General features: G+C 53.4%; 2 protein-coding genes across 14 annotated transcripts in view, besides 4 other annotated features; one reads left to right on the top strand and one right to left on the bottom strand.

Annotated features, from left to right (window-relative positions):
* Positions 61-490: a silencer, noted in NCBI's record as "silent region_3321". NCBI's record gives its function as "represses an Ori minimal core promoter by ATAC-STARR-seq in GM12878 lymphoblastoid cells {active_cell/tissue: GM12878}" and the evidence as "EXISTENCE:reporter gene assay evidence [ECO:0000049][PMID:35858748]".
* ARFGAP2 (ARF GTPase activating protein 2) lies at positions 518-13,096 on the top strand. 7 transcript variants are annotated; one of them, NM_001410995.1, is made up of 17 exons: positions 518-615; positions 763-881; positions 1,474-1,546; positions 2,084-2,215; positions 2,299-2,382; positions 3,557-3,638; positions 3,915-3,971; positions 4,646-4,687; positions 5,064-5,116; positions 5,597-5,733; positions 5,840-5,971; positions 9,146-9,274; positions 9,354-9,488; positions 10,511-10,637; positions 10,798-10,891; positions 11,011-11,129; positions 11,895-13,096. In NM_001410995.1, exons 1-17 carry the CDS (start codon positions 544-546, stop codon positions 11,913-11,915), a joined length of 1,608 nt encoding a protein of 535 aa, NP_001397924.1. In that variant the 5' UTR covers positions 518-543; the 3' UTR covers positions 11,916-13,096. The 7 variants fall into 7 exon arrangements, with proteins under 7 accessions (NP_001397924.1, XP_005253224.1, XP_005253223.1 ...); XM_005253167.2 differs by having other exon boundaries at positions 3,515-3,638; XM_005253166.3 differs by having other exon boundaries at positions 3,482-3,638.
* Positions 541-770: an enhancer, noted in NCBI's record as "active region_4688". NCBI's record gives its function as "activates an Ori minimal core promoter by ATAC-STARR-seq in GM12878 lymphoblastoid cells {active_cell/tissue: GM12878}" and the evidence as "EXISTENCE:reporter gene assay evidence [ECO:0000049][PMID:35858748]".
* Positions 13,012-19,915, bottom strand: part of CSTPP1 (centriolar satellite-associated tubulin polyglutamylase complex regulator 1) — a 227,697-nt gene continuing 220,793 nt past the window's right edge. For 4 of the 7 annotated variants that reach the window (NR_103471.2, NR_103472.2, NM_001278222.1 and 1 more), the window contains 3 exons: positions 19,475-19,584; positions 16,207-16,270; positions 15,150-15,933 (listed from right to left, as the gene is read on the bottom strand). Coding sequence is in view for 5 of the 7 variants with exons in the window: in NM_001278222.1 (NP_001265151.1) it covers positions 15,759-15,933; positions 16,207-16,270; positions 19,475-19,584 (349 nt within the window). In the remaining 2 variants the exon portion in view is untranslated. Of the gene's footprint in view, positions 13,305-15,149; positions 16,271-19,474; positions 19,585-19,915 lie in introns of those variants that run through there. The other 3 variants (NM_001003678.3, NM_001003677.3, NM_001003676.3) reach the window with 3 other exon arrangements.
* Positions 16,045-16,339: a silencer, noted in NCBI's record as "tiled region #11477; K562 Repressive DNase unmatched - State 12:CtcfO". NCBI's record gives its function as "represses a minimal TATA promoter and a strong SV40 promoter by Sharpr-MPRA in K562 cells {active_cell/tissue: K562}" and the evidence as "EXISTENCE:reporter gene assay evidence [ECO:0000049][PMID:27701403]".
* Positions 16,128-16,294: a silencer, noted in NCBI's record as "fragment chr11:47182654-47182820 (GRCh37/hg19 assembly coordinates)". NCBI's record gives its function as "represses an EF-1alpha promoter that drives an FKBP-Casp9 reporter gene in an ReSE screen in phorbol 12-myristate 13-acetate-treated (for megakaryocytic differentiation) K562 erythroleukemia cells {active_cell/tissue: K562(+PMA)}" and the evidence as "EXISTENCE:reporter gene assay evidence [ECO:0000049][PMID:32094911]".

Below are 19,915 nucleotides of genomic sequence, written 5' to 3'. Positions count from 1 at the left end.
CTCTGGAACTTCGAGATACTAATCTGGAGTGGAGGGGACTCGCTGTCAGGCTTGCTGTTAACCGAGAACGGCTGAAGGCTGGGCGAGACGCGGGCCAATGCGTCTGCCCGTTCGGGCCGGAGGGACGAGGAGTGTTTGGGCAGCCTAATCCTTATTCATCGATCTGTAATTAGCTGGAGTGGGGGTCCCCGCCCCCAGCCTCCCGCAGCCTGCGCGGCGTGGGGGCGACTCCACCTGGGGGTTGCGGCGTGGGAGGGGCGGGGGGAAGGGTACTACGCGCGCGAGGAGGTTTGGGCCGGTCCGCGCGCCGTCGCCCCGCCCCGGCTGCGGATTGGCCCGGCGCGGCGTTGATTCTTGCGGCCGCGGTTGTCGTCGCCGCCCCCGTCCCGCCGGCTGCCCATTGGTCCAGATCGGACTCCAATCACCCCACCCCTCGGCTGGCCCAGGCACCGCTGAGGCCGGCCTGGTGAGCCCGCCCTCCCCGCCGTGGATTGGCCCGCGGCGGGACCCGTCAGCCGCGGTTGTGTCTGGGAAGGAGAGAAAATGGCGGCGGAGCCGAACAAGACCGAAATCCAGACTCTTTTTAAGAGGCTTCGCGCAGTTCCAACCAACAAGGTGCGTGAGCAGGGGGCGCGCGGAGTCTCTCGTCCCGCTGGGGCCTGAGGGAGGGAGAAGGGCGGAGGTGGGTTATGTTTCTGGGGTGTCGGTGCCTGGCCTTTACTCGGGGCCCCTGACGATTCGCTCATCGCCGCCTCCACCCAGGCCTGTTTCGACTGCGGCGCCAAGAATCCGAGTTGGGCCAGCATCACGTACGGTGTTTTCTTGTGCATTGACTGTTCCGGGGTGCACCGCTCCCTGGGCGTCCATCTGAGCTTCATCAGGTAGGCTCTCCGCGCGGTTGCCGTGTTTCCACCCGGCCGGCCAGGGGTGTCTGGGCAACAAGGGAGAGTGGCTGCCTCGACTTGGGCCGCTCTGAATTCGGTGGGAAGCCTCTGGGCCGAGAGGGTCCGGTAGCCTCCTGCCAGAGGGAACCACCTGTGTGGGCCCTTTGGCACATGGGCGGTCCGTCTCCGCCTCTGGGCCAAAACTTCCTCTTTTTTGACGGTCAGGCTTGAGACTCTGAGCGTTAGTTGAGGGGAAAGGGAGGCATTGACCTTGTTGTTGCTGATATGTTGTTAGACCAGTATGTCTCTAGTGAGACTGTGACCATCCATTAGGGGAAAGCCAAATCCAGGCGTGCGTGCCTGAGAATGTGACCTCCTTTCGGATCTGGGGACATAATTAGTACTCTTTGGAGTAAATGAACGAAGAGGAGAGTTTTCATGGACAGGGTAGTGTGGAGGAAATGGGGTGATGGCTGATTAATGTTTCCTGGGTGCCTACAGCAGCCTGAGGCCAAGTGACAGGTATCCGGGTTGCCAGGGAAATCCTGCTGGTATCTGCTAGTGGGTGAGACGCAGCCCTTGTACACAGGTCCACAGAGTTGGATTCCAACTGGAACTGGTTCCAGCTGAGGTGTATGCAGGTCGGCGGGAATGCCAATGCGGTAAAGCTCCTTCTACTTCCCTCACCTTCCATTCTTCTGCCTGGTTACTAACTTTGCACGACTCCCTAAGAGGCCCTGTCGTTTTCCCTGTTCAGAGGGTTCTCTGTTCTATAACACCACCATAAGCTATTTTCTGAAAACTTCGAAACTGGTCACAGCTTCTCTTAAATGGGTTTCAGATTCCAATTAAACTGGGCAGGTGTTCTTGGGGAAAAGCCACAGGAGTTGGGAGCCTTCACAGTCATTGGGTCTTGTGGGCCTGCCCTGGATGAAGGATGGGGAGGCTGGGTATGGGATGTTGTGCTCAGGCAGCGTTCAGTGGGGCCTGGACTTCAGTCATATCAGAGGATGGCCCGCTGCAAGGTGTTTTTTGCAGGAATTTCGAGAAACTTTATCTCTGAAAAACCGGTGTCAGTAGCGTGTATCATCCTGTATAGATAATAACTTCGCTGTCATAAGGAGATGTCTCCTACAGCCAACACGTTTCCTTCTTGAGAATCACCCGTAGCACGCGCTGCTCTCTTCTTTGCTCTCCAGACGGCTTTTTTTCGCCAACATGGATGCACAGCCAATGATGCCAACACCAAATATAATAGCCGAGCTGCCCAGATGTACCGGGAGAAGATCCGGCAGCTGGGGAGTGCGGCCCTGGCTAGGCATGGCACTGATGTAAGTGCCTGTTCTTGGGGCTGGGGCAGGAGGGTTAGGAGTATTCAGAGCCCTGTGTTTTAGGGGTGTCTTCTCCTTTCTAGCTTTGGATAGACAACATGAGTAGTGCCGTTCCTAATCACTCCCCAGAGAAGAAGGACTCTGATTTCTTCACAGAACACACTCAAGTGAGTGCCCACAAGGAACCGTTTTCCCAGTTGTTCTTGACAGGCAATTTACCAAGGCCCAGGCCTTCTGTGATCATGGTTGTAGATTCCATTTGCTTTGATGTGATGTCTTGGACACCACGTATGAAGTCCACTGTTCCTGCTGGGTAGGCCTAGGTGTTTCCTCCTCCATAAATGGAGGTGCAGTGTAGCCCTCCTTAGAAATCGACTCCTATAAATTGGGCTGGCGGGGAAGAGAGGCAGCTTCTTGAAGTTTCAAGAGGTGTCCGGTGCCCCAAACAAATTTTCCTGGATTCTTCCCCTATAAGAAAGGCACTGTGGGCCGGGCGCAGTGGCTCACGCCTGTAATCCCAGCACTTTGGGAGGCCGAGGCGGGTGGATCATGAGGTCAGGAGATCGAGACCATCCTGGCTAACAAGGTGAAACCCCGTCTCTACTAAAAATACAAAAAATTAGCCGGGCGCGGTGGCGGGCGCCTGTAGTCCCAGCTACTTGGGAGGCTGAGGCAGGAGAATGGCGTGAACCCGGGAAGCGGAGCTTGCAGTGAGCCGAGATTGCGCCACTGCAGTCCGCAGTCCGGCCTGGGCGACAGAGCGAGACTCCGTCTCAAAAAAAAAAAAAAAAAAAAAAAAAAAAAAAAAAAAAAAGGCACTGTGCTTGGGGACAGTGAAAGGATTCTCTCCTCCCCGCCCCACCCCTTTGAGGAGGGTTTCCTCTTTACTGGCCCTGGGTGCTGAAGTTAGACTCTTGGCTTCAATTCCTGTTCTCTACTCCGCATTCCTGTGATGGTGGCCAAGTCACTCAACCTGTCAAAACCTCAGTTTCTAAAATGGCGATGTAGCTCCTTCATAGGGGTTGTAGTGATAATTAAATATATTCATATATGAGGAGCCTTTAGATCTGTGCCTGCCTAGGTGGTGGTAGTTAACTGTCTTTAAGTTAGGAGAATGGGCTCTGGCTCTAAGTAAATAGTGAAGGGGTTGGGGTGGGGGCTGCTTGTCTTCCTGCTTTCTTCCACAGTGAATAGCAACTGTGATCTTGTTTGCTACCCTCCAGTCCCTTTCCTCATGGGTTTGGAGTATGATTTCTTGTCCACAAGGTGCTTGTAGGTCTTGGTGCTTCTTGCCAGCAGGAGTGGCTCACCGAGGCATCTGTGATCTGGCCTCCTTTTCAGCCCCCTGCCTGGGATGCGCCAGCCACTGAGCCTTCAGGGACCCAGCAGCCAGCCCCGTCTACAGAGAGCAGTGGCCTGGCACGTGAGTTCAGCCCAGATTCCAACCAGGTGCCCTGGTCCTAGGAGAGGACTCAGGGTTTGGAAGGGGACATCTGGCCATGACAATAGGAGCAGGGGTCCTCCTGTATCTTTGGGTGGGCCGGGATTCATTTTAATCCTTGGAGGAAGTGGTAGATATTCCTTTTATCTTTTGGTGGCAAGCTGAGGAAAGCCACCGATTCTTGTCCCATCACTTCTTTCAAGGGGAGGTTGCAGGAAGCTAGGAGCTCATCTCTAACTCCTACCATTGCATCCACAGAGCCGGAGCATGGCCCCAACACAGACCTGCTTGGCACCTCACCCAAAGCCTCACTGGGTCAGTATGCCAGCGGGCAGGCGTGGGGTGTCTGGGAGAGGGTGGACCTCAAATGTTCTTTTCAGAGGTCCTACTGCCTGGCCGTGTGGACAGAGGCCACAGGAGACTGAGCATCTATCTGATTCTCTGGAGTGGGGACTGTGATTGAAATAGTGGATGCAACACTGATTTTAGAGCCAAGCCCTTTGAATTGATGAATCTGGGTGGGCTGGTGTATAAGGCCTGGGGTCTGCCTCTGAGTGTGGGGCTGGGTCTAGCCAAAGTGTTGGGGAGGCCAGCATGAGACTGGACACCTATCCCTGGGCTCTGAGGCAGGGCTGGCTTGTCTGGTGCATTTCCGGGGGTGGAGGGACAGCTCTGAGCTGCCGAAGGCTGGAGGTGACATTGTTCTTTCTCAGCCAGTACCCCAGCCTGTCCTTTAACTCTTTCCTACATTTTCCTTAGTGTCTTTCAGACTTGGTTCAGGGCGAACAGTCCATTTGCTGACCTCGGTTTGTTCTGTTGACTCTTGGGGGTTGGGGCTGGAACCCAGCAGAGTGACTGTCAGACTGATCCATGAGAAGGCTGGCATAGCTTGGTCTGAAGCAGGGCTTCATAGAGACCGCTGGGCTTGGGAGCTCTGTGGAGGCTCTGGGGTGGGCCTCTTGTTAGCCACAAGTCTGTTTCTCCTCCAGAGTCCGTGTATCTGTCAGCTAAAGGGGCCCTTCCTGCCAGAGGTAACTGACAGCTGCTTGGGGAGCCCAGCCCCTGTTCTCAGCTTCCTGCTTTAGAAGCGGAGCCTGGTGCTCACCATATGCTCCCTGCCTCGCAGTCTTTGTTTTGGTTCAGGGAATTTGGACGTCTCTGGTGCTTCGGACGTCTCTGGTGCTTCAGGTCTAGGTTCCTGTCTCACTCTGCTGGGTGCCAGTAAATACCCCAGCCACGTCTGTCTTTGGCTTTGACACCGCTGGTTGGAGCTGGTGGTGGCAGCTTTGCCTTCCCTTGCCTGAAGCTGTTCTTAGGAGCTCTTGCCATGAAGCTGCATGGTGTATACTGAGCTACTGCCTCTGAGCTGCCTTTGTCTTAGCTCATGCCTACCCGTTTCTCACGCAGAACTGAAAAGCTCCATCATTGGCAAGAAGAAGCCAGCAGCAGCTAAGAAAGGGGTAGGTGGGGAGAGGTGGTATGGTAGAGGGGTTAGGAGCTGGGTGCAGGCTACCTGGGTTCACTCCTTGACCTTACCACTTACCAGCTATATGACTTTGGCAAAGGTACTGTGTTTCTCCGAACCTCGCCTGTGAAAGGGATTTAAAGATTTAAAGGGATTTAAAGCCTGTCTTCAAGGGCTGCTGGGAGGAGTCGGTGAGATGGAGCACATCTAGTGCTTGGCGGAGTGCTTGGCACATACTTGGCCCTGTCAGCATTAACTGCCGTCCTCAGGCCCGGGCTCTGCTGGGGCTGTGTGAGCCGCCCATGCCCAGCTCCAGCGGAGCACTATTGTCTTGGCCATGCTGGTTGGGCTCCTGTTTTTTACCCTAAATTTTAAGAAGGGCCTTTTCCTTGTGGGTGTGGCTACAGTGCCTGAACCTGGGAGGGATCTGAGGAGAGTGTGATTGGGAAGGCCCCTTACATGATTCTGTTCCCAGCTGGGTGCCAAGAAAGGCCTAGGGGCCCAGAAGGTGAGCAGCCAGAGCTTCAGTGAGATTGAGCGGCAGGCTCAGGTGGCAGAGAAGCTCCGTGAGCAGCAGGCAGCCGATGCCAAGAAGCAGGCGGAGGAGTCCATGTAAGTGTTTGCTGCCGGGGCCTCAGGCTTCTGCGGGGCTTGGTGGGTGGGTATGTTGGACAGGTCAGGATGGGTGGTGGCCACTGACACCTTTGTTCCCCCTAAGGGTCGCCTCCATGCGTCTGGCCTACCAGGAGCTCCAGATTGATCGTAAGAAAGAGGAAAAGAAGCTACAGAATCTGGAAGGGAAGAAGCGAGAGCAGGCAGAAAGGTTGGGCATGGGCTTGGTATCCCGAAGGTGAGGCTCAGCTCCGGGTGTGGCAGGGAAATGCCGTTGTTTTCTGGGAACCATTGCGGGGCCTTCCTAGCAGTTTGGGATGCTAGGCTTATTGTTTCTCCAAGTCTGAATAGATCACTTGGCTTATTGTTCTAAAGTCCCTAATACAGTGCTTGGCGCATAGTAGGTATGTGCTCAGTAAGTTGAATGACTGAATAGGTATGTGAACAAAACACAGGATCAGGTGTTATTTCAGTATCTTCAAGAGACTAGGGTGGTTTTTCTTGATGGCACTTTGAGTCATGGGACAGTTTATTTTTCCAGACCTCCCTGAGAATTGCGGTGCATTTAGTATCATCCTTAATTCCTGTCTAGAGATGCCATTTGTGCTCCCTGTAATACCCTCACATATCCCCCACATTTCAAATGCCCTCAGTTTGGGTGGAATCCTTCCTGTTTCAGAACCACTCGGTTTGCTGTGGTTTTCTTTCTTTTTCTTTTGAGACAGATTCTTGCTCTGTTGCCTAGGCTGGAGTGTAATGGTGTGATCTCAGCTCACTGCAACCTCTGCCTCCTGGGCTCAGGTGATCCTTCCACTTCAGCCTCCCAAATAGCTGGGACCACAGCCGGGAGCCACCATGCCCAGCTAATTTTTTTACTTTTTGTAGAGACAGGGTTTTGCTATGTTGTCCAGCCTGGTCTCGAATTCCTGGGTTTAAGTACCTTGGCTTCACAAAGTACTGGGATTACAGATGTGAGCCACCATGTCTGGCTGCTATGGCTTTTTATTTTTATTTTTTGAGACAAAGTCTCACTCTGTCACCCAGGCTGGAGTGCAATGGCACGATCTTGGCTCACTGCAATCTCTACCTCCTGGGTTCAAGTGATTCTCCTGTCTCAGCCTCCCAAGCAGCTGGGATTACAGGTGTGTACCACCGTGTCTGGCTAATTTTTTGTATTTTTAGTAGAGATGGGGTTTCACCATGTTGGCCAGGCTGATGTCGAACTCTTGACCTCAAGTGATCCACCTGCCTCAGCCTCCCAAAGTGCTGGGATTACAGGCATGAGCCACGGTGCCCGGCTTTCTTTTTTCTTTTCTTTTCTTTTTTTTTTTTTTTTTTTTGAGATGGAGTCTTGCTCTGTCACCCAGGCTGGAGTTCAGTGGTGTGATCTCAGCCCACTGCAGCCTCCGCCTCCCAGATTCAAGCAATTCTCCTGCCTCAGCCTCCTGAGAAGCTGTGATTACAGGCATGTGCCACCATGCCCAGCTTATTTTTGTATTTTAGTAGAGATGGGGTTTCACCATGTTGCCCAGGCTGGTGTAAAACTACTAGCTTCAAATGATCTGCCCGCCTCGGCCTCCCACAGTACTGGGATTACCGGTGTGAGCCACGGCGCCCAGTGCTTGGATTACGGGCGTGAGCCACATCCAGCCAGAGCATAACATTTTAACTTGAAAGGACATTGGGTCTCCCTCCTTTCCCTGCTTCAGTCACATAGGAATGACTGGGTTAATAGATGACTGGGTTAAGGGATGACCAAGGGGTTAAGGCATATGAACAGTTTTTTAGCAGTGCAACAATTGTTTACTTAAACCCAACTCACCCTATTTATTTATTTGAGACAGAGTTTCAATCTCGTTGCCTAGGCTGGAGTGCAATGGTGTGATCTCAGCTCACCACAACCTCCGCCTCCGGGGTTCAAGCTATTCTCTTGCCTCAGCCTCCACACCTGGCTAATTTTGTATTTTTAGTAGAGACAGGGTTTCTCCGTCTTGGTCAGGCTGGTCTCGAACTCCCGACCTCAGGTGATCCGGCTGCCTCGGCCTCCCAAAGTGCTGGGATTACAGGTGTGAGCCACCATGCCCGGCCCAACTCAGCCCTATTGCAAAATAATCACTCCTTGGGGTTCTTCTAGCTAAAAGCTATAGATATTTTTTAATGAATTGATTTAAATCAAATTAGTCCTTAAAGTGTCCTTGTGGAGCCTGACAGAGGAATGAGAGGCATCAAGAGTTGTATTGTATTGCCTGCCAACCCTAGACCCCTTTTCTTTGAGAAACGAGACAGCAATTCTAGGTCTTAGTGCATAAGGCCAGTCTTTGTGCTTTGAGGTGCTTTTTTTTTTCTCTCTGAGACGGAGCCTCGCTCTGTTGCCCAGACTGGAGTGCAGTGGTGCGATCTCGGCTCACTGCAAGCTCCGCCCCCCAAGTTCACGTCATTCTCCTGCCTCAGCCTCCCAAGTAGCTGGGACTACAGGCACCTGCCACCATGCCCGGCTAATTTTTTTGTATTTTTAGTAGAGACGGGGTTTCACCATGTTAGCCAGGATGGTCTCGATCTCCTGACCTCGTGATCTGCCCGCCTCGGCCTCCCAAAGTGCTGGAATTACAGGTGTGAGCCACGGTGCCTGGCTTTTTTTTTTTTTAATAAAGAGTAGGATGATGAAGAACTCATTCTTTGATGCAGTTATGTTCATTTCCCTGGTGCTGGGGCATTTCTTCATCCATTCCTTTGCTTTGTGAACCCCATCAGTGAAGGATGGGGTTCATAGTGCACAAGGTAGGGAGTTGTTCAGGACAGAGACCACTGGCATCTGGTGCACAATATTAAAATTACAACACGAGCCAGGCACAGTGGCTCACGCCTATAATCCTGGCACTTTTGGAGGCCAAGGCGGGTGGATTGTCTGTACTCAGGAGTTTGAGACCAGGCTGGGCAATGTGGCGAAACCCTGTCTCTACTGAAAAAACACAAAAAATCAGCTGGGTGTGGTGACGTGCACTGTAGTCCCAGCTGCTCGGGAGGCTGAGGCACAAGAATCGCTTGAACCTGGGAGGTGGTGGTTGCAGTGAGCCAAGATTGCACCACTGGACTCCAGCCTGGGCGACAGAGTGAGAATCTGTCTCAAATAAATAAATAAAATTAAATTATAACAGGCAAACCGTCACTGGCCAGGGAACTCCTACGTGGAATAAACAAAGCTGATGTGTAAAGAATTCTGAGGTGTGCTTCACAGGTCACCACACACAGCTAGCCTTCTGTTGGGGTCTGGCCCAGCCCTGTGCTTGGGTAAGGACAGAAGGCTCTGGGTGACGCTCCGTGAAGGAGAACCCAGTTGCTGGGCATTGTCTCTTGTGCGGTGATGCTGATGCCTATCCTTTGGTCTCATGCCTGGCTCTGCTTTGCTGCGCAGCTCTGTCTCCCACTCCGTGCTGTCTGAGATGCAGGTGATTGAGCAGGAAACCCCAGTGAGTGCAAAATCCTCTCGCTCGCAGCTGGACTTGTTTGACGATGTTGGTACTTTCGCCTCTGGACCCCCAAAGTAAGGCTGTTTTCTAGCTGTAAACTTGGCTGCTGTGTTCCTCATCAGGCTTCTCTGAGCCACTCTACTGTCTCCCTAGGTACAAGGACAATCCCTTTTCCTTAGGGGAAAGCTTTGGCTCCCGCTGGGATACAGATGCTGCCTGGGGTATGGACAGGGTAGAGGAGAAGGAGCCAGAAGTGACCATCTCAAGCATCCGGCCTATTTCAGAAAGGTAGAGTGGGCTGTTTTTTCTTTTTTCTTTCTTTTTTTTTTTTAAACAAGCTGAAGGTAGAGAATTCTAAGGCAGCACTGTCTAGAAGAACTTTCTGTGTTGATGGGAATGTTCTCTGTGTTGTTTAATATGGTAGCCACTACTATGTGGCTATGAGCCCTTAAAATGTGGTTGGTGCAACTGAGCAACAATTTCTGATGTAGTTTAATTTCTGATAAACGTAAATAGCCACCAGTGGCTGGTGCCTGCCTCATTAGACAGGGCAGCAGTCAGGCTTCGGTTTGAGTTGTGCTTTGTCATCATAGAGGGCCTGGCAGCTTCTTTTGCTTGGGGTCCATTTCTCTGGCCGGAGGAGCCTGATTGTATGCTTCAGTCCTGACCTCCTTTCAGGGGTTTTATGTCTCCAGCCCCCTTCTTATTTTTTAAAACCCTACTCCATCTTAATCTGGGATCTGTTTAGTTGACATAATATCTGTGAGTTATCCCCGTATAAAATGGGAACGTAACTACTTCATAGGGTCTCCGGAAATACCTGGCCCAGTGTCCACATACTCAGCGTGAGATGAGAGCAACCATCTCCCTTTCCACACCAGGATGCTTTTGAGAGTAAAGGGGGCAGTTTGCTATTCATAGTTATGACAAGAGTAGGTATAAAGCCAGGCAGACCGACACATATGCTCATTGTAGTACTAGGCAAGTTGTCACTAGGATTAGGGTAGCAGCAGTTGTGTGGCCTCCTGAATGCTGACGAAGCTGTGTGCTTTTGGGCAGGAGCCTAGGCCACTGCAGGCTGTATTTCCACCCTGCCTAGTGCAGGTTCCTAAGCTCTCTGGGCCTTGGCCTCAATGTGGAGAAGGGTGACTCCTCACCAGGGGAGAGGGGCCCAGAGCCACAGAGCCACAGACAGAATGGGACCTGGTAACCCATCACCAAAAGGCCACTGGTGCTCTGTTTGGCCTCTGTACTCTGCCTCCCCTGATGATAATGGGAGGAGTCCGAGATATTCCACATCTTCCCCTCAGAGCCACAAACCGGAGGGAAGTGGAGAGCCGGAGCTCAGGCCTCGAGTCTAGTGAGGCGCGTCAGAAATTCGCAGGAGCCAAAGCCATCTCATCTGACATGTTCTTTGGGCGGGAGGTGGATGCAGAGGTAAGTGGGGCTGTCTGCCCTGAGGTCCGAGGCAGCAGGCAGAAGCATGAGCTTTCTCCCTGCCGCTGCTTTGGGCTTTAGCACCAGGAGGGCCTGGCCTGTGTGAGTCCTTGGGTCATCAGCCCCAAGATCCCCAGGCCTGGCCTTTTCCTCACCACAGTATGAGGCCAGGTCTCGGCTGCAGCAGCTCTCAGGCAGCAGTGCCATCAGCTCTTCAGACCTCTTTGGGGACATGGATGGAGCTCACGGAGCAGGTAGGGCCCTGGTGGGGTGGCAGGCACCAAGTGAGGCCTGGGAGCAGGGCGGGAGGGCCCTGCTGTGACTGGGAAGGGCTTCTTGCTGGGCTCTGGGTCACCCTGCTCTTGTTTTACAGGAAGTGTATCTCTGGGGAACGTGCTGCCTACAGCGGACATTGCCCAGTTTAAGCAGGGTGTCAAGTCTGTGGCTGGGAAAATGGCTGTGCTGGCCAATGGTGTGATGAATTCCTTGCAGGTGAGGCTGAAGTGGGGCCTAATGAGGAGTGCTGGGAGGTTTGCCCTTCGCCACCACATAGAGACACTGCTACTGCTCAGCCCCTCTGAGCCTTAAGAGCATTTTCGGCCGGGTGTGGTGGCTCACGCCTGTAATCCCAGCACTGGGAGGCTGAGATGGGTGGATCACTTGAGGTCAGGAGTTTGAGACCAGCCTGACCAACATGGCAAAACCCCGTCTCTACTAAAAATACAAAATTAGCTGGGCATGATGGCGTGCACCTGTAATCCCGCTACTCGGGATGCTGAGGCAGGAGAATCGCTTGAACCTGGAGGTTGTAGTGAGCTGAGATCATGCCACTGCACTCCAGTCTGGGTGACAGGAGTGAAACTCTTGTCTCAAAAAAAAAACCACAAACGAAAAAGCAAGAGTCTAGAGAGAGGCATTTTCTTGGAGGGCAGCTTCCTTCCTTTCAGCTCCGTGCCAGGGCCGGGCCTCTCCAAGATGCCTCTGTGTCTGCCATGATCTTCCCTGGCCTTGTCACCTGTACCGCTCTTTCTCTTCTCTTCCCAGCTTCTGTGAGGCCAGGCAGGGCTTCCCTGTTGTCGGGTGCCCGAGTGGCCGCTGCCCCAGCTCTCACCGTGGACTCCTGCCTCACCGGGCTGTCCAGCCCCTGCCTCCCCAGTCTTGCTGTGGGGTGCTGGGGCAGGCAGTGTGTTTGCTGGGAAGCTGCTGCAGCTTAGAGCCTCTGACTTTTTTTTTTTTTTTCTCCCCCCTCGCCCCCAGGATCGCTACGGTTCCTACTGATCCGAGCTCTGTGACTCAGGCTTACGATGGTGACGGCAACAAGAACTCCACAGTTCCCAGGCTGGGGATGCTTTGCCTTGTGGAAGCTGGGGAGGATTTGTTACTTCGTATGTGTGGTGTGTGTGTGGGGTGGCCTTTGAGGCGCTCACTCCTGTGAGGGGAATGGTCAGTACCAGCCCTTGTCCTCTGCCTGTGGACTGAGCCCTTTATTCCCTCTCACACCACCCTCCGTGTGTTAGACTCTTGTCCTTCTGTCCTGCCCCCACAGCTGCTGCTCACTTATCCTGCCATACTGGGAAAGGGGGTTCCCCCACGATGGCTTATTCTGGGTCCAGACTTTCCCCAGGTAGGGAAAGCGGAAGGTAGAAGGCTTTTTTTGCTGGCTCTAGGGTTCTTCTAGTTCGAGGCCTTGGGTCCCCATCCTCTGGAACCAGGGGGAGGCCTGGAAGGAGTTCACTGTAGACCCGTCCCATGGGGAAAGAGGCTGCGGACTTGCTGCTGCTGCTGCTGCCAGTGGCCTCTTCTGGGTGCCAGGAGAGGGGAAGGACCTTTGTCTGGGCGTTACCAAGGGCTGGAAACTTTACCTGGTACCTAAAGGTTTCATTTGGGATCAGACCGGAGACCCTTGGGTTCTCCCGTCTCACCACCCCTTTCTACAGTAAGCACTTGGAAGATTGTTTCAGGGTGTCTCAGGGTCCCTCTGTACCATCTGCTGTGGAATGCAGGACCCTCTGTGACATTCTTTATCCCTTCTTCCCCGGGTTGGTGGCCATGGAGGGTCTTGTCTGCTGTGATTCGACTCTGGATGCTGTGAGCTTGATGCTGGCCAGGGAAGCAGAGGATGTGAGAGGCAGAGGCAGGCTCCTGGGGCTGAGCTCCTTCCTCTGCATCATTCTGGGCTTGGCCTGGACAGCACCCGCCAGTGAGAGCTGTGGGCCTCACCCTCTGGCAGCTGAGCCAAGCACTGTCATTCTTGGTGCCATCTTCCCCTGCCGCACCGGCAGTCTCAGCCCAGCCCCCACCTTTGGGTTGTAGGTTGGGCTCCCAAGCAACACAGACCACTCTTCCCCTTGCCCCTCCCCCAGAGGGACTTGACTTTCTTTCTGGACTGTTTGTATTGAAACAAAGTGGTGTCAAAATAAAGCCCCTGCAGGGCCTGGCTCCCTGTTGGTCTGAGTGAAGCAGTGTCCTCTGGATCCTGCCTCCCTGCCCAGTGCCGGCCCCTGGCCTCACTCTCTGGGCTCCCACCGGTAATGGTAGGGCGTCGGTACCGAAGCTGAGGACACTCTCTCCAGGGCCTCCTGCTTCTCTCTTCTCTGAAAGCCAAAGGCCCCTGGCTCCTTGGCTCTGTGCTGCCGTGAGGTCCGGTGCAGCTTCGACCTCACCACCCTGTGGCACGCAGAGGAAAGAGCTGGCATTAGTTGGCCCTTTAACTCGCTGGCTGAGGGCGAGCGAGCAACCTCAGCAGTCCTGCCCCTTGTCACGGCAGTAGGCTTGACTGGGGATGGGTTTCAGTGGAGTTTAAGAAATATTTAACGCCGGGTACAGTGGCTCATGGCTGTCATCCCAGCACTTTGGGAGGCTGAGGCGGGTGGATCACTTGAGGCTAGGAGTTTGAAACCAGCCTGGCCAACATGGTGAGACCCCATTTCTACTAAAAATACAAAATTAGCGGGGTGGGGGCGGTGTGGTGCATGCCTGTAATCCTAGCTACTCAGGAGGCTGAAGCAGAAGTCACTTGAACCCGGGAGGCAGAGGTTGCAGTGAGACTAGATCGCGCCACTGCACCCCAGCTTGGGTGATAAAGTGAGACCCTGTCTCAAAAAAGAAAAAATTACATATATATACATACACACACATACTCTTAGACGTTAATGGGACCCTTTAAATTTAGGGAAGAAAAGGTGTGTGTTTGTGTGTAAATCCTTAGCTTGGCCACCCCTTTCTCTTGGGGGCTTCTGAAACATCTCTGTGCCACCTTAGGAGTCCTCACGGTAGTTACAGACCACTGGTCTGGGAAGTGGATGATTAGAAAGGATGGGCAGAGGGAGCCAGGGGGCTGTAAGCCAGGGATTTGCAGAGTGTAGGTTTGGGACTCATTCAGCTTTGGGATCATCTGGAATTTCTGGACTCCATCCCAAGTTGATAGAGTTAGACTCTCTGGAGCTTGGTAATTTGCATCGTCAGTAGGCTTTCCTGTGATTCTGAGGACACCAGGATTTGAGAACCATGTCTCTTATGGGCTGTGCATCATTGTGGGCCTACAGAGCTCATCACGCAGCCTGAGCTTTTTTTTTTTTTTTTTTTTAAGATGGTCTCATTCTGTCAGTCACTCAGACGGGAGTGCAGTGGCACGATCATGGCTCACTGCAGCCTCAACCTCCTGGGTTCAAGTGATCTACCTCGGGTCTCCCAAGTAGCTGGGACTACAGGTGCAAGCTACCATGCCTGGCTAAGGTTATTTTGTAGAGATAGGGTCCTACTATGTTTCCCAGGGTGGTCCTGAACTCCTGGGCTCAAGCAGTTGGCCCACCTTGGCCTCCCAAAGTGCTGGGATTACAGGCAATGAGCCACTGCATCCTGGAGCAGCTTCGGGGCTGGAATGCCTAGTCTTGGCCTCAGCTCTGCAGGGGTTTGGGAGGCAGTTCCTGTAATGATCCGTTCTGGGTAGGGATGAGCCCAAGGAAATGTGTATGCCTAGTAGTGGTGACATCCACCTTCAGAGGAGGCAGTCCTGTTCTGCTTGGGCTTCTGGGTGGGTTTTGCTTTCTGGGGGACCCCGCCCCTTCAGCCCTCAATCCAAAGAAGTTGAAGACACTCGTCCTTACCTGCCTCCAGTCTTGGCTGGGATGTGTCTGCCCCAGGCTGTGTCTGTCTGTCTTTCACAGCTGCATCCCACTGTTCTAACCCCAAGCAGGTGCTTGGCAAATGTTGACTGAAACCCTGGCTGGAAGGCTGTGCAGTATTAACCCTTTATGGCCACGGTCTTTAAAGTTATGGGAACCTGGCCTTGAACCCTCTGAACCTGTTTCCTGAAGGCCGTTCCAGCTGTGAGCACTTTTCCTCTGGAAGGTTGCTCTTGTGCGAAGCTAGGCCCCTCTGCTCGTTGTCTGAGGCAGGTCCCCAGGTCTGAGTGGGCCACTGGCCTACCTCCTAGTCCTACCAGAAAAGCACCGAAAACCCAAACTCCCCCTCTCCCTTCTCCCCTCAGCCTAGGAGCTTTAGACTCACCAGTTACCAGACATGAGGGACTTTTTATTCGTTTCACATGTTTGTTTAGCTATTAGACACAAAGGGGTCAAGACTTGAAGCAGTTTTTGCAAGTGAAATCATCTTCTGGCCCACCCTTCATATTACCAAGGCTACTGGCTGTTCTCCAACAGGCCACAGCGGTTATGTCCTCCTGGTACTTGCGTCGCAGGTGTCACCCTTGATGGTGCAAGGCCCTGCGTGGCTATTCGGGTTCTCCCCCTTAATGGAGTTGCTGTGAGGAGATGAACCTTATTGGGGGACCCGCAGAGGCTGGCTCAGAAGAGACTGCTCTTAAGAGGTTAGGAGGACTAACAGGCTACGGCGTGACAAGGTGGCCTCAGCACAGTCTGTCAGCTTGGGGCCTAAGTGAAGTTCACAGGCTGATAGGGCCAGGGAGAGCAGGCCATTCACCTTCCGGGGCCACTGGCTGGGCTGATCATCAGAGCCCCTCTGGCTGGTCTTGGGGCTGTTATTCACCTTGTCAGCAGCAGAGGGCAGCACAGCAAGGTGCTGGAGAGGAGGCTGGGTGGGCACACCAAGGGCTGGGTGGGAGCAGGTACAGGGCGCTGTGGGCAGGACCCTTTGGACTCCTCAAGTCTCCGACTCGTCTGTCTCTTCAGTGGAGCCATCACTCTCTCCATCCACTTTTCGGGAATGATGGAGAGGTCTCCAGGGAGAGCCAACCCGGGGAGGGGTCCGGGAAGGCAGGCAACTGGCCTCTGGACTGGCTGTGACCGAGTTGACCAGGCCTGGGACCTGGGCCAGCCTGAAGAAGGGAAGAAGCCTGGAGGGCAGCGAGAGGCCTCCTGTACAGAGAGCAGGGCCTCCATGCCCACTCTTAACACTAGGGTAAACCCCTGGGCTGCAGCCCCCAAAGGACTCAGAGGGAGGGACACCTCAGGCCTCCACTGGCCCCCAGACCCTTCCCTGGCAGATGTGGGATGTTACAGACAAGTGGTGTTGGCCCCAGATGGGGCACAGCCGTGTCCGACCCGTCTGGCCCCCACAAGGGGGCAGTATCCTCCCACTTGACACTTACAGCCGTTCCAGCTCTTCATCCATTGCTGGGTCGTGCATCAGATCCCCCTTGTCAGGCAAAGCTCCTAGGAGATCATTGGGGGCACAGTAGTTAATCTGAGGGCCCTTCAGCCAGGCAACAGATTCCTCCATGCCCCTCACCTTCACGGCTGCCTGTTCTGCTGACCCTGCGAGGGCCGATCTAAAGATCTGAGGACTGCTAGAGGGGCCAAGAACAGTCACGGAGCAGGAAGGTGCTCGCTGTTGCTTGATACATTTATTGAATCCCACTGCCTACTTTCCCTGCCTGGGGCAGACACCACAGCCAAGGAGTGTGGTGATCCCCTTCCAACACCAGGTGGTGGTTGTGACCTGGTGCTGGGAGTTGAGTTCCTTCTTGAGGCCTCAGGTACTGGGCTGAAAAGGATATGGTCCAGGCTAAGCCCAAAGGTCAGACATTACCTAATTTTGTGTCCCTAAATCAGGATGACCCCACTTTGGAGACAGATGGTTAAAAAAAAAATGCTGCCTCTGCTTCTCCAAGGAGGATCCCAGGGGCAAGAGGAGAAGGCTGGGTCAGGGCCAGAATTAACCCGGCACAGGCAGATTTCCCCTTTTTCCAAATCTTTTTCAGATGATGCCTCCTGGCCCCTCTTGCCCTAAGTTAGTGGTTTTCAAAGTACATCTCATAGAACCCTCTCATTTGTGGGGTGCCCTGGGGACTAAGGGAACAGGGCTGACCTCCGTGACGCGTCAACCAGTGTATCTCCGGATTTCTATTTCATACGCTGGAGATGCAGGTGAGGCCTGAGACCACATGCTTCTTTCTGTCTCCCATTCCATCCAACCACCCAATGTTAGTGTGCAGTAAAAGTGGTTGAATGAGAGTGACTTTTTTTTTTTTTTTTTTTTTGAGACAGAGTTTTGCTTTGTCACCCAGGCTGGAGTGCAGTGATCATGGCTCACTGCAGCCTCGACCTCCCATGCCCAAGCGATCTTCCCACCTCAGCCTCCTGCGTAGCTGAGACCAATGGTACATGCCACCACACCCAGCTAATTTTTGTTTTTTTTCTAAAGAGACGGGGTTCTCCCTATATTGCCCAGGCTGGTCATTAACTCCTGGGCTCAAGCAATCCTCTTGCTTTAGCCTCCCCAAATGCTGGGATTACAGGTGGAGCCACCATGTCTGGCTATTAGTGTTTATTTATTTGATGGAGTTTCGCTCTTGTTGTCCAGGCTGAAATGCAATGATGCGATCTTGGCTCACTGCAACCTCCGCCTCCCTGGTTCAAGTGATTCTTCTGTCTCAGCCTCCCCAGTAGCAGGAATTACAGGCATGTGCCACCACAACTGGCTAATTTTGTATTTTCAGTAGAGACGGGGTTTCTCCATGTTGGCCAGGCTGGTCTCGAACTCCTGACCTCAGGTGATCCGCCGCCTCGGCCTCCCAAAGTGTTGGGATTACAGGCGTGAGCCACCACACCCAGCCAGTGTCCTTTTTAAAGGCCCTTAGAAAAGGGGGATGAGGTTACTTCAGGCTGTGACCCAGTTGCTAATTGGCTTCTCCTTCCTAGTGGCTGCTACTGGTGGGAAGAAAGAGTGGTCATAACGAGGAGTATGAAAGAACACCAGGGCAGATCCCACCCGCCTCCCCCTTACTCTTGATTCCTGACTCTCGCCTGTTTTTGTTTTTTTTTTCTTTTTTGAGACTGTCTTGCTCTGTCGCACAGGCTGGCGTGCAATGGCGTGATCTCGGCTCACCGCAACCTCCGCCTTCTGGGCTCAACCGATTCTCATGCCTCAGCCTCCCGAGTAGCTGGGATTACAGGTGCGGGCCACTATACCCAGCTAATTTTTGTATTTTCAGTAGTGATGGGGTTTCACCATGTTGGTCAGGCTGGTCTTGAACTCCTGACCTTAGGTGATCCACCTGCCTCAGCCTCCCAAAGTGCTGGGATTACAGGCGTGAGGCACCACGCCTGGCCTGTCAATTGCCTCCTTTCTAGTCTTAGTCCAGTGGGTAACCTTGGCTACCAACTTCAGTTGAGGGCTCCCCAGACCTGTGCATGCCCCAAGCACTGACTCAGAATAACCAGGCTGTGGGTGGCATGCAGTTCAGCCTGCTGGGGTTTGTGCTTGTGTATCCCAGAGCATCCCTGGCTAACTGTATATTGTGTAAGATAAAAAATATAAAGCATCCAGCACAGTACTTAGCCTGCTGTGGTTGGCATTTAGTGAATGTTAACTTTCCTTCCCTTAATCCCATTCCCTCAACTGGCAAAAGGAAGGGGGATGCTGTGTGTCTTTTCCTTGAGACTCAGGCACCTGGGATCCCAAGCACAGCAGGAGGATCTCTCGAGACACAAAAAAGAACTCCTTGCTGGGCGTAGTGGCTCACAACTGTAATCCCAGTACTTTGGGAGAGCAAGGTGAGGGGATCCCTTGAGCCCAGGAGTTTGAAACCAGCCTGGGCAACATGGTGAAACCCAGTCTGTACAAAAAACACAAAAATTTTCCAGGATGGTGGCGCATGCCTGTAGTCCCAGCTACTAGGGAGGCTGAGGTGAGAGCATCACTTGAGCCCGGGAGGTCGAGGCTGCAGTGAGCTGAGATTGTACACAGCACTCCAGCCTGGGCAACAGAGCGAGACTCTGTCCCAAAATAAAACAAAAAACAAAAAACCTTAAACTGTAGTAGAATGGAGGCTTACTGGCTCTTCTCTTAGGAGAGCAGTGGCTGTGGGAGGAGGAACAGTGGGGTGGGTGGAGAAGGCTCAGTGAAAAAAAACAGCAGGCAGGAAAAACTGGGCCACTGCAGACTTCCCCTACTTTTGTTTTTCTCCCTTTCAGATTAATCAGATTTTTTTTTTCAGCTTGGAAAAAAGGTCTCCGCAGACACACCTGTGCCTTGTTTATAAATGGGATTCAGGTCTCTTTGATATATAATCTCTAGCGTCACTGAGTAAATAGTCCTGTGTCTGCCCGACCTGCAGGCTGCTCCCCAAAGCAGAGCTGGGGTTCTCTGAGGAGGGGCTGGGCGCTTCTGCTATGGGGAGGTGGTTTCATGTTGGGGCAGGGCTGCAGGCAGGGAGGGCTGTCCCCTACCATGGGAATGTGTAAGAGCCATGTTTTGTCGCCATATTCCTGCTCCCTGGGATTGAGTCCGGCCCTGGGAAGTCAAGGCAGAGATGGTGATGCCCCTTCCCCTCTGGAGCCGTGTTGCTAACAGAGGCCAGCTGCTCCCTGTGTTGTGCGGCAGGAGAGGCTGACGGCTGCTTAGCTCTGACTTACCGAGGGCTTGGTTGATTCCACGGTGCTTTGAGAGAGCCATGAGGAATCCATAGAAGGTCAGTCTCTGAACATTGCTGAGGGCCTCTTTGACAAGTGCTGGGGGTGGGCAGCTAAGAAGGAGAGATGCCACATTCAGAGCCTAGCCAGCCTCAGGGCCACCTCTGCATCCATACTTTCAGGTTCATGAGGATACCCACAGCCAAGCCAGGGACCTGCCTTGGGAGCCCCAAGGCCCTGGGGGATCAGGCCTTCACTATGGTCAGGAGGGGCTGGCATGTTCACTAACTGGTGCTTTCACCGGGGTGGGGAGTGGGGGTGGGAAATGGCTACGGGAAACCAAACCTGTTGCTCAGTCCCTAAGGGTACTTGTGCCACACAGGACAGCTTACCCCTCTCTTTGTGTAGAAAAGTTTTATACAAGGAGTACTCTTTCCTTCTCTC

This window comes from Homo sapiens, chromosome 11, assembly GCF_000001405.40.
Source record: "Homo sapiens chromosome 11, GRCh38.p14 Primary Assembly".
NCBI lineage: Eukaryota > Metazoa > Chordata > Mammalia > Primates > Hominidae > Homo > Homo sapiens.
The sequence above is the reverse complement of the archived record's forward strand: the minus strand, read 5'-3'. Positions and strand labels throughout refer to the sequence as shown.

Bases quoted from the DNA above. Each gene is read 5' to 3' on its own strand.
- ARFGAP2 (XM_005253166.3), top strand. From the start codon at position 544: ATGGCGGCGGAGCCGAACAAGACCGAAATCCAGACTCTTTTTAAGAGG. The intron at 9,489-10,510 runs GTAGAGTGGGCT...TCTTCCCCTCAG, and splicing joins ATCCGGCCTATTTCAGAAAG to AGCCACAAACCGGAGGGAAG. The intron at 10,638-10,797 runs GTAAGTGGGGCT...TCCTCACCACAG, and splicing joins GGCGGGAGGTGGATGCAGAG to TATGAGGCCAGGTCTCGGCT.